General features: G+C 35.2%; 1 long non-coding RNA gene across 14 annotated transcripts in view, besides 1 other annotated feature; it reads right to left on the bottom strand.

Annotated features, from left to right (window-relative positions):
* The window catches only part of MIR99AHG (mir-99a-let-7c cluster host gene), a 561,240-nt gene that overhangs the window by 60,824 nt on the left and 487,704 nt on the right, over positions 1-12,712 (bottom strand). The window lies entirely within an intron of this gene.
* Positions 6,714-7,268: an enhancer, noted in NCBI's record as "H3K27ac-H3K4me1 hESC enhancer chr21:17935956-17936510 (GRCh37/hg19 assembly coordinates)". NCBI's record gives its function as "activates a minimal SCP1, AML or CMV promoter by ChIP-STARR-seq in primed H9 embryonic stem cells {active_cell/tissue: H9 hESC(primed)}" and the evidence as "EXISTENCE:reporter gene assay evidence [ECO:0000049][PMID:30033119]".

Genomic DNA, 12,712 nt, shown 5'->3' with positions numbered 1-12,712 from the left:
AGTAGGTATATATATTTATGGATTACAGGAAATATTTTGACATAGGCATGCACTGTGTAATCACATCAGGGTAAACAGGGTATCCATCACGTCAAGCATTTCTCCTTCGTATTTCTTTTGGATAATATTTATATCTTCTTTCCCCCTTTATTATTTAGAAAATACTCAATAAATAGTATGAGAAAATAGAAGGCATATTTCTATTTCTGACTACCCTTCATCCCCTGTTCAGGCAGCTTTGAGGATACTTAAAAAGATTTTTATCAATATTCTAGACAACACTCTAAAGTAGGCCTCTATTAACTCAAAGAAAATTTCAAATATATGTATCACGTTGTTTAGAAGTGAAAGTATTTTAGTAAAGCTTGTTTCTTGAAGAGAGGGAAAACATGTTGGTATTGCGTGAATTAGAAGCATACATTACAACAACAAAGAGACAGCAGCAACAGAACAAAGTTGAGCTTGTTTAATAAAAACTGCTTACTCATTCATTCATTCTTTACAGTCAAAACCCTTCTCACAAAAAGGCTATCATGAACAAATCACGGAGGTGGAATTTCCAAACAAAGAGGTAGTATTTGACCTTCCTAATTTTTAGGATAGCTACCTAAACTGCAACTATGATTCATTAGGATCCACGTAATTTAGAGTTTTTACATACTTCAAATATGTCAGAAATGTTGTGTTCCTTTATTCGGAATGGTTTGCCTTGAAAAATACTGAGTTAAGAATTTAAAGAAACCCTAAAATTTCCTTAGAGATTTTGTACAAAACGTGTTAGAGACTATTTTTAAAAATATGAAGATAAGAAAGAAAAGTCACAGTCTATTCTTGAGGAGAAATAACAATGGAACATAATAATAATTTTAAAAGATGAAATTCCTAAGGGCTTCAGAACTTAACAACATGTGAGGTTCAAACATATTTCTATCACATTCCTCACTCTCCTGTTTCATGGCTTATATCCTCTTCCATTTAAGATTACCAGACAACCTCCATATCATCCACTACTCATCCACTGAGCAGATGTGTTGAGATAATGTGAAAACCATGCCTTCTAGTGTGCATTCTTAATCACTTAACGCAGCCTTGGATAACAGAAATCCTACTCCAGTTGGCCAGTTGAATGTACCTCTATTTCTACATTCAGGATGCTTTTTTGCTGCCATTCCTATCATTTCCATTGGCTTTTAATCACACTTTTAAGTAGTTAACTCATCAGACCTGGTAATTTTGTGACTGTCCTGTTTTCCTTTGAGACTTCAGTGATTACGTCAGAAAACATCTTACTCATTTTACTCAGTTGTCTTCATTTAAAGTTTAGGTGGGGGTAGTTTAGCTGGTGTTCTGTTTACATATGCTGATTCTATTTAACATAGTAATTTTTAAAAATGTGCTACACCTTGTTTTCAAGCAATAATGTACCTCTACTTCTTTCACCTTATATGTAAAAAATTCATTATATATTTTCTGATTGTGACTAGAACCAAGAAAACCTTTAAGTCCTCCCCAAGAGGAACAATGAAAGGGCTCTAAGGAAAGATAATTTAAATAAGAAAGAACTAGCTAGATTGGGTTCCATGTATGTAATAATAAGTTGGAGCTTTAGGTCACTCTAACCATGTTTCCAATAATGAAAGAAAATTCATATACCTTGAGATCTGGTTATTAGAGAACATGGCTTAGTTCTAGGTTAAGAGTATTGTAGAACAAGAAAACCATTGCCTATTAGCCTTATCTGAAATTAACAGTAATTTAAATTTTGAAAAATTATTAGGAGATGATTTACTAGTTTTAAAATTTTTATTGAAGGATGGATCTAATTTACATATGATTTAAATAATGTGTACATCTATGGAAAGCTAACATAACAGACTAATATTATAAGGCTCTCTCTTCCCTGGTGAAAATAACAAATGGAAAAGAAAATGCTGGAAATGATTAAAGAGGCATGCATCAAGAGGAAGGACAGCTGCCCATAGTTCAAAAAGCATTGCTCTAGCTATGTTGGTATGAACTGTTGACTCAATCACTTGATGTAGACTCACTAATCAGCTTACCTGCCAAACACATCCTTGTTCTTCCTGCACGAGACTGGACTCACCTCTGCTACTACTAGGTAAAAGGTGCTCAGAGGCAGGTGGAATAATGATTAATCGTAATAAATACTGTAAGTAGAACTGAACAAAGCCTGAAATCTGAGCTTCAAAAAACTATTTGAATATCAGCATTCTAAGTAATCCAGTGAAACTGAATTTGGTATAAGCAAAGATAATTACAGTGATAGACATTTGAAAAGAAAAATTCACGAAATAGATTAATTAATAAAGTGTGAAGAAAATATGTCCTTCTACTAGTGCATAATAACTTGACATTTTGGGTCTGTACACTGGCAAAGAGATATGAATTTTGGCTGCTCCAAAATATATGACTATCACTGAGAAAAAGTGCCCAAAACAACTTAAGCCACTCCCAAGATAAGCATTTCCTCTTTTTCAGAATGTGTATTAATGTAAAACAAATGCAAGAAACAGGAATATTATAATTATCAGCACATTAATTTTTTAAGATTTTCATATTCTAGTTATATGGATATGGTGATTCATAGCTATTCACAATTTAAAAGTTTTATTTAAATAAGTAGACATAATTAAAAGGAATATGCATTATTTAAAAAAAAGCAAGATTAATGCCAACAAAACAATTAAATAAACAACATGAGAGTAAGTCTTTCAAAAGAGACAGGTAACAAAGACTGTTTCATTTTGAAAACTTGTCATTTCCCTGCAAATAGATAATGAATAGCAAAATGCCTATTCAAACCCTCACAATAAAATAAAATAACATTTTCCCCCCAAAGTCTATGACTTTGCTGAGCGGAAAACGTTTCACGTATAGGTATATTAATTATGGAATTCAAAGTAATTATTATATTAAAATACAAATAGTAGTGTTCAAATACAAATAGTTTATTGTGCCAGTTTATTCTTGTGGCCCTCACTAACTCTTATATGTATATAAGCACAACTAATTCATCATAAGAAGACCTTTCTTGTTGCTTTCTTGTATTAGTGTAGTTTTAGTTCAGCTTATTAGACAGATTCAAGGAGAAAATGCACCTGTAATCAATTCTTCATCCCAAGATCCAGCAGAAAGAGAATATATACAGGCAACAGTTTTTGAGGCATTAAAAGTAGCAGCCCCAGGAGGGATAAACACAGACTAGGAAAGTTCACACTACATATTGTGAAGCGTTAATTAAAGAATGTTTATTTGGCACAAGAGACACCCCTTTTCTGTACATTCCATAAGATGGTGGTGTCATGTTTATATGGCTATGACACCTTGCAGCAATGCATTCTTCAAAACAATTTCTAAATGATTTTAATTACTTTTCTTCCAATACTATGCGGTATTCCCACACTAAATTCAATCTATGTTTTGGAACACTAGGTGCTGACAATGTATTTTCAAATAGATTAGATATCTTTCTACAATACTGAAAAACAGATCTCATATATAAACTGAGTTCATTGCAAAAGATTGCTATGCATGCACATGTGCACACGGGTCAACTGCCCAAGGGAAGAAGTGGTAAAATTGGATATTTTCTTATGTGTAATACTTACTTTTCTTGGTTTTCAAGAAATACAAAGCCCGAAGCTTTCTTTTATCCAACTGAACAAGAAAATTAGCAAAGAAATTAATCTAAGTCAACTACAGAGGCAAGAGAACCACATAAACATATAAGGAAGATTTTTTTTCCCCCAAGGAAAAACATTAGTGCTCACTGTTGAAAACATTACAATTAATCATTTTAAGTAAGAGCTCCTAGTATTGATGCACAAGGTTTGAGATTTTAACAGCCAGTGAGTAAATGAGAACATCAAAAATGTTAAGGTTTAAGTAGTCTCAGAGTAAATCCCTTAGAACATTGAAGATTGGGAAAATCTGAAAAAACATGGGAGTCTTGTATTAATCTTAATAGTTCAAAGTAAAACTTGATATTTTTAGTATACATTAAACTTGATTTAAGGATTATGGGATGAAAGTTGCTAGATTCCCACACACAAAAATACTTTTCTTTTAATTGACTATTTTACAATACAATCCATAATTTTCCACTTCTTAAATATTAACATTAGGTTTCACAACAGTAGTCAATCATTAGAGGAAGTAACTGGGTATCATGAATGCCTTTCAAATTTAAAAGATCTAGATTCTCTCTCTAAAGCTTTCCTTGAGAAAAAGAAAAATAACAAACCTGCTTTTAGGCAAGTGACAAAAGAATATTGTAAAGTTATAAACTCATAGTATTGAACATGGACAGAAACCTCAGAACCATCTAAAAGGAAACCCTAAAAATCTGCTCACCTATGTTCTATAAAAGAAATTTAAGAACCTAAAGCAATGATTAAGTAGGCTCTAGAATCAAATTAAAAATTGATCCATAATCAAATTAAAAACAAATCATTCCATTTGATGAAAAGTGTTAAGATTTTAAAAAATATACATTTTATGAATCTAGGCTACAAAATATATGGACATAGATATCATAGGCTGACAATGCAGGATGTAATTCACTACTCAAGTAACTCTTTACTAATTCTATTTAATATTCTATGCACTGTTCAACAGGCACAGTTTTAGGTTCATGTTGAAATAGTTATTATTATTTAGAATTTTATATTCACTTTTTAACTTTCAATCTTGAACATATACAATAACTCTTTTGATGTTTAAATTATAATATTTAGAATATTTAAAATGTTGTCCATATATTTATTTTCACACTTGTTCCCCAATTTATGTTTTTAAAAGCCATCACATTCCACACATAGCCCACAAGAGGAACTTTGGGGTACAAAGTCAAGTAAAAATGGGTAAAGAATATGGCAAGTATGAGTGGTAAGGAGTAGGCACCATCTTTAGTGGCATAGAGGGGACATATCGGACTAACAAGCCACATTGGTTTTAACATCAAAATCTTATTCAGAATGTTACAGGTACACTCCCTCCTAACTCTTGATGTCTCTCCGCTGACCCACAGACATAGATAAATTGCCTTTGAAGATCTCGTTTTGTAATGTATTATATCTTCTATAGATTATTAGTAAAGGCAAGACACTTGAGTTAATTTATTCTTCCTGAGAATGATAAAACTCACAAATGCCTAGAATAAGTAGCTTTAGTATTAGGAAAACACCATCCAAGTAACATCCAGGAACTGACAATTTTTAATTGGCAGAATGGCATAAGGAAATATACACATTTTGGGGAAAGTATATTTCTAGATATTTTTACTTGATTTTTTTTCTTTATAGAGACAGGGGTCTTGCTATATTGCACTGGCTGGTCTCAAACTTCTAGCCTCAAGCGATCCTCCTGCCTTAGTCTCCCAAAGTGCAGGCATTACAGGTATGAGCCAGCATGCCCAGCCTGTTTGTAGCTTTTGATCCCATAAAACTAACTTATTTTACTAACCCTATCTCATAAGAAGAATGGACTAGAATTTAATGCCTTAAGAATCAGAGTCAATTAAGTATAAAATTCACTTTTAATAGAAAATGACATAATAGGCAATGATAAAAACCATTTATCCTAAAATATCTTATTTAAACATTTACATAAAGACAAGTTTTATAAGCAAGATGGAAATATATCCAGGGTTTGTTCTGTGGCAAACACATACTTCCATACCTCCTATATCTATAATTAGAAGAGATGGATTGTTAAAGCAAGATTATGACCTCAAGTTAATATGCAATCAAAATGAAAAGTAAATGTTACATTTGGTTCCTCCTAGAATATGAAGCTGAAAGATAAAGATTTTTTTCAAACAATATTGAAGCAGTATGCCTATCTGATGAAACTGTGATCAATATATCTTACCACAGGTGCTAATACATAAGGACAATGTAAGAAAAAAAAACCCACAAGATTTATAATGAAATCATAGTAAACAGATAATTAGATTTCACTACAATTAACTTGCTTTATTACAGTAGAAATTTTAGTTAGGTAAGGCTCATTTTTTAAGCAAAACACAGCTGATATTGATAAAATGTGAAAGAATTGGGAGCAAGTCACTTACATATACATGAAGTTCTGGAGAGATATCCACAGATATCTGTATAGTAAAAACGAGTGACATAGTACAATTAGTCCAAGCAGGTGGTTGATGAACACTGGTAAGGACAGGGCTTTTTGTTTATGAACTCTATTTACCCTACTAAACCACAGGTTGGGTAGTCTAATCTAGAGTTAAACACCTTCTTCTCCATTCTTGAGCTGACAATATATATACAATAAGTTGGAAGTGGGAGTTTAAGCAAAGAATTCTAAATAGTGACCAGAAGAAAAAAAATACCTAGCAAATTCTGGAGTTTTTCTACACGGGCTACCTCATCTATGCCTGCTGCCCCGTCCACTTCCTTTGTCAGAACTTTTGGGTTCACACATTCCTGCTTTTCACAATGGGGCTGCAATGTTTTGTTTGTTTGTTTGTTTGTTTTTTGAGACGGAGTTTTGCTCTTGTTGCCCAAGCTGGAGTACAGTGGTGTGATCTCTGCTCACTGCAACCTCCAGCTCCCAGGTTCATGTGATTCTCCTGCCCCAGCCTCCTGAGTAGCTGGGATTACAGGCATGCACCACCACGCCCAGTTAATTTTGTGTTTTCAGTAGAGACAGGGTTTCGCCATGTTGGTCAGGCTGGTCTTGAACTCCTGGCCTCCGGTGATCCACCGGCCTTGGCCTCCCAAGTGCTGGGATTACAGGCGCGAGCCACCCCGCCCGGCAGAGACTTTCTTTATCCTGATTACAAGAGAAAGGGGCACCAGTGTGAAGCAATGTGACAAATCCAGAAAGGCATCTCTTTTGTTTTCCTATTAATTTTTGTGCAATGTGGCTAGAGGTGGAAGGCCACTGGCCTGAGCAGCCTGCAGCGGGGGAGGTGTGCTTGGAATGTGTTGAATGTGCATTCCTTAGATGCTTGAAAGGGGTGAATGCCCCCTTATTGGCTTCTACCCATTTTCACTGGTTTGGCTGCTTTAGAAGGGCACAGGTACTACTTTTAAACATCCAGTGTGCCTCCTAGCTTTTAATCACTGATGACTTGCAGCTCATAGGTTTTTGGAATTAGGCTTTTAAAGCAGAGTTTTCTTTTATCCTTATTTGGTTTATGTCTATTCAATTTTTGGTTTGTTTACTTATTTTTAAAGAACGAAGTTTTAGGCCGGGCGTGTTGGCTCATGCCTATAATCCCAGCACTTTGGGAGGCCGAGGGGGGTGGATCACTTGAGGTCAGGAGTTAGAGACCAGTCTGGCCAGCATGGCCAAACCCGGTCTCTATTGAAAATACAAAAATTAGCTGGGCATGGTAATCCCAGCTACTCGGGAGGCTGAGGCAGGAGAATCGCATGAACCTGGGAGCTGGAGGTTACAGTGAGCCGAGATCATGCCACTGCACTCCAGCCCAGGCGACAGAGACTCCATCCCAAAAAAAAAAAAAAAAAAAAAAAAAAGTCTTCAGTTGGGAGTCTTCTTGTTGTGGTTGAAGCCTTTCAACCACATATGAGATAAGCCATCGTGCTTAGCACTGGAGATACACAGATTGATAAAGGGAGATCCCCTCCCTCGAATTTCCTGGTAGGTTCATGGCTTGTTTTTTATGAGCTTCTCATTGCTCTCGGTTTGAATAGCTTGGTGATTATTAAGAAATGGAAATAAACTGATGTTGCCTATTGACATTTACTTTTTTTTAAATTCATTTGATAAAATATTTTGAATTACCATTATTAAATGCCATAATCTGCCATGGCTATTTTCTTTTGTCTGAAGAATAATTTAAAAACTATGAGAAGTAAAATAAATCTATTAATCCAGGCAACTATGAGAAGTAAAATAACTATTCATCCAGTTATTCTTTAAAAGATCTTTAACAACAGCAGATGAACTTCTGATCAAAACTCAGGCACACAGCTGCTTTATCGAAGGGTGTTGCTAGTTCCTGATTCACCCTAAGCCATCTCCATGCCATAGTGTACTCCTACCCCAGTTCTTCACTCATCTACTCTGGTAATGTGCTTATGATCATTCTCTTCAGAGAATCTTCTTTGGATTCCAAGTTATATAAATGACAATACTAATTTTTCTAAGCAATCCACTTAAAACTATTAGACTTCTGTTTGATATTCAAATTAATGTACAATATGAACAATCATGAAAACTAATTAGTTTAGAAATAACATTGCAATATTTAAACTTTCATTAAATTGAATAGGCCTTTGCCTACCTTCTTCTAAATGAGGGTAGTTATATACTAAAGTCAGACATAAAAGAGTATTAAAAGAATATTAAAATAAAATGGAGCGATTTAATATGCACAGACACTGATTCCTTCTTTAGAAATTCTACAGCACAGAGTACATGGTTCTGTCAAAGCCCTTATCATATTGAATTATAATTACTGTTTATAGTCTATCTCTGACTAGGCAGGGAGCTTCAGGAAATCTTAACCTATTTATCTTTGGATTCTCAGCTTTGACATAATGTCTGACACATAGAGGATGCTCAGCATAAATGTGTTGAATGAAAGAATAAGCAAGGAAAGAGAATGGGCTTGATTTCCTCACTCTGCCATTTATGGTGTGTGATCTCTTAGCCTGCCTGAGTCTCAGTTTCCTTGCCTGTCATCTGAGTGAAATAAAGTGTAGTAAAGAGCTTCAAAAGAGAGCCTGTGACTCTACGCTATAGGGACTTGCACAGGGACTAGTTAACTTGAGTATCCCTTCATTCAATCAGAGTTGATCACTTACTATGGGTGAAACACAGCTAGACCACTGGACACTCAGTTCCTGTTCTTGGGAAGTTGTCTCTCCAGCGAAATGACGCCAGGTAAACAGCCCACAGCATTCGATGTGCTGATTATATTGTGACAAAGGCTGACAAAGTACAGACTCTAAGGGGCGCACTGGACCATCCTTCCCACAGACACCGGGAGTCTGGGGAGGATTCTTGGAGAATCTAACATCTAAGACCCAGTCTTCTTTGGGTCACATAAATATTTCAGGCAATGGAACAGGCAGCACAAGGTCCTGGAGGGAGGGGCAAGAGTCTGATACAATGTATGTAAGGGGAGCTTCTTAAATTCCTCATGTCATAGCCTTGTTCCAGAGATCATGAAGTCATGCTTTGTAATCTGTGGTTCGTCTGTTTCTAAATTGTACAGAAAAATATCTAAGTTAACTTATTTTTTTCTTCCATCATTTAGGAAGTTTTCTTCCTGGAACCGCACTTCTAAAAATTACCTAACTTACCCTTATTAATCAGTGTTATCATTTAGTACATGTTCTATCAACAGAAATAGCAGAATTCAATCTTTGTGATGCAAAAAAACCAACTTAATAATGTTCCTGAATATATTGCCAATTACTAAATTAGTTTTTAAAAATCCGAAAGTATTTTACCATTGATTGGTTTCACCCCTCATAAATTGTTGGTATTATACGGCTTTCTGAAGGTGAAAAGAATACTCTCCTCAGAAATATTTATATTGACAGAATTAGCTATTTAATAAATATTTGTCACATTATATTGCTTTTTGCGATTCATCATCACATATTGGGCATCTCATTAGCATTTATATTTTGTATATTTTATCTAAACACCACAATAGCATGAAGTGTATTTTGTGCTGACAAACGGAGATACTGAACTATGTATTGAGGTCAGTTATCTCAAAGCCTTGACTTCATCAAAAAAAGCAGTTAAAAGAACATGGGCAAACCAGAAAATCTAAGTTTGATTCTTGGCATAGCCATGAACTAACTCTGTGGCTGCAGGCAGGTCACTTAACCTCTATTTTATTTAATAGTTATTTTCATTATCCTATTCATTTACACTGTAAACAACATGGAAACAGCGTTTGAAGGAGCTTTGAGTGGAGATTAGTTAAAAAATAAATACTTAAAGTTTATTTAAGTATGGGTAAATCCTAGATCTTAAATTTTTTTAGAAAAGACCCACATCTCCTTGGGTACTATTTATGCTTTCAGCACTATTTAAATTCTGTTTTGCTGAATCATTGCTGACTTCACAATTATCTTCAGGTGCCAATATTTGAAATAGACTGTAGCCATATCAATAGAAGAAATTTTTAAAATTACTTTAATGGATCTAGATATGCAGTATATTGAATGAAAATAATATAGAAAGAATTGTGATGTTATTATAAGATAAGATCCTTAGGTTTTTTTTTTAGGAATTTTGATTGCAAAATAAGCTTAAAAGATTGATTTCATGAATTGATGGGAAGAAATGAACTACAGAATAATTCTCATAATATTCACACCATAAATCAAATAGTTCACTTTGTTCAGTTTGACCCATCAAGTATTATACCCACAATTTTCCACAAAAAGAGCATCCTGAAGAAAAATCTGTTGCCTTCCTGGTTCCTGCAAATACAGAATTGCTAATTACCTTGGAGGATGAACGTGGCTTCAGATCATACATTTATTACACAAATCTTTATTTTTCCATCTCCAAATTTCCTAATGATACGAAACAGCTTATTTTAATCAAATTGGTTTTCCTCATGCTCCTTAAGTGCAAGAGACGCCCATCTGGGTCTGAAGATAATGATGCCATGAAATGGAAATCTAAGTTTTAGGCCACAGTCAGGGCAGTCTTCTACTAAAAATAAGTGGCCGTTTAAATGCTACCACATCTTGTTTTGCAAATCTGTCCTCACACAGCAAATAATCATTTTTGGTGCAGAATTCAGTCATAAAATCATCCATTAGTGGTTAGTAATGGACCATAATTTAACATGTTTTTAGAAAGTGCATTTGGAAAATGAAACACTGAAAATGATGGCCATATAAGGAATATTAATATTCATATGAAATAAACTTTAGGGACAGATATCCTCTTTTACTGACAACTACTGGCACAGAATATTTTCCACTTCCTTGAGGAAAAGGGCCTATGATGCCTCATCCAATGGTAGAGATAAATCTTAAGAAATTCTACAACTTATAGAATATATTCATATTTTGCTTTGTGGTATGCTAGCTTTAGTGGAAAAATGAGAAGAATTAATAGCTGTAAGTTTTAAGATACATAAGATAAATCAGAAAGCAGTTTTGGAATGTTAAATATATTGCAGGCAAACAATATTAGCCTGTGTCTAGATCAAATGTAAATGCTCACAGCAAATTTCCGCCCTCATTATTAACATATAACCCAAAAGAGATGAATTTCAAGCAAACGTCAAGACAGAATTACACTTGTAATTGTACTTTCACCATAAGATTATATACATTTCCAATGTGGTGCCAATAATGCCAGATGGGCTGTGTTCAGTTTCCAACATGGTCAAAACTGATAAAGATGCTTTTGCTGAAAATCAAATTAATTGAAATCATCTAGTTATAAATGAAGAAAGTAAATTCCACCCCATTTATTTCATGTTTGTAAAGAAATTTTTTTTAAATAAAGAAAAATATGCATGTGATCAACTCAGATTAGATGAAACTGTAACTTGATTTTTGCCAAGTACTGAATAATAATAATGATTAGGAGCTAATATTTACGGAGCACTCCTATGAGTCAGGCCCCGTGCTATTACATTTATAATTTCATTTACCCTTTCCAAGAAACTTTGAGATTGACACTGCTTTGCAGATGAGGCATCTGAAGTACAAAGAAATGAAAGAACTTGTTTAGTTCCATACATCCAACAAGTGATCCAGACTCTGACCATCTGACACTAGAGCACACTTAGTCTGTATTTGTTGATTTTTTCTCTCCCCAGAGCAGGAAAATGAGAGACTCATTGAAGGTTATTGCTAGGTTCAAGTGCTAATTACTAAACACAGACCTTGCAGCCCTAAACCACAATTTGAACTAGCCAGCTGTTTAACTTCAGGACTCCATGGGGGGTGGTGTGGGGGGGGACTTTAGCATGGGAATTCAGTGGTCCTATAGCCCAAGGCTGCTCTAGGAACTTTGCTAGAACTTACGGGGAGAATGGTTAGATTTCTTTCACTGTGGTAAAATATCTCAGCCATAGTTATTTATTTATTTATTTTTAAGACAGAGTCTTGCTGTGTTGTCCAGGCTGGAATGCAGTGGCATGATCTTGGCTCACTACAACACCTGCTTCCTGGGCTCAAGCAATCCTCCCACCTCAGCCTCCAGAGTAGCTAGGACCACAGGTGTGTGGCACCATGCCCAGCTAATTTTTTTGTATTTTTGGAAGAGACTTATTAATGGTAAGAACCTTAGAGACCATCTGGCTCATTTTCCAGATGACCAAACTGAGGCCCAGTTTCCTTTTTTTTTTTTTTTTTTTTTTTTTTAAGACAGAGTCTTGTTCTGTCGCCCAGGCTGGAGTACAGTGGCACAGTCTTGGCTCATTGCAACCTCTGCCTCCCAGATTCAAGCACTTCTCCTGCCTCAGTCTCTCAAGTAGGTGGGACTATAGGCATGCACCATCACACCCAGCTAGTTTTTGTATTTTTAGTAGAGACAGGGTTTCACGATGTTGCCTATGCTGGTCTCGAACTCCTGACCTCAAGCTATCCACATTCCTTGGCCTCCCAAAGTGCCGGGATTACAGGTGGAGGCCACCTCATCCTTAGCTCAACCATAGTTCTAAGGCAGCCCCAACCCAGTGAAGGGAGGCAAAACTGCACAACGTAAAAAC

The sequence above is a fragment of the Homo sapiens genome, chromosome 21 (assembly GCF_000001405.40).
Source record: "Homo sapiens chromosome 21, GRCh38.p14 Primary Assembly".
Taxonomy (NCBI): Eukaryota; Metazoa; Chordata; class Mammalia; order Primates; family Hominidae; genus Homo; species Homo sapiens.
The sequence above is the reverse complement of the archived record's forward strand: the minus strand, read 5'-3'. Positions and strand labels throughout refer to the sequence as shown.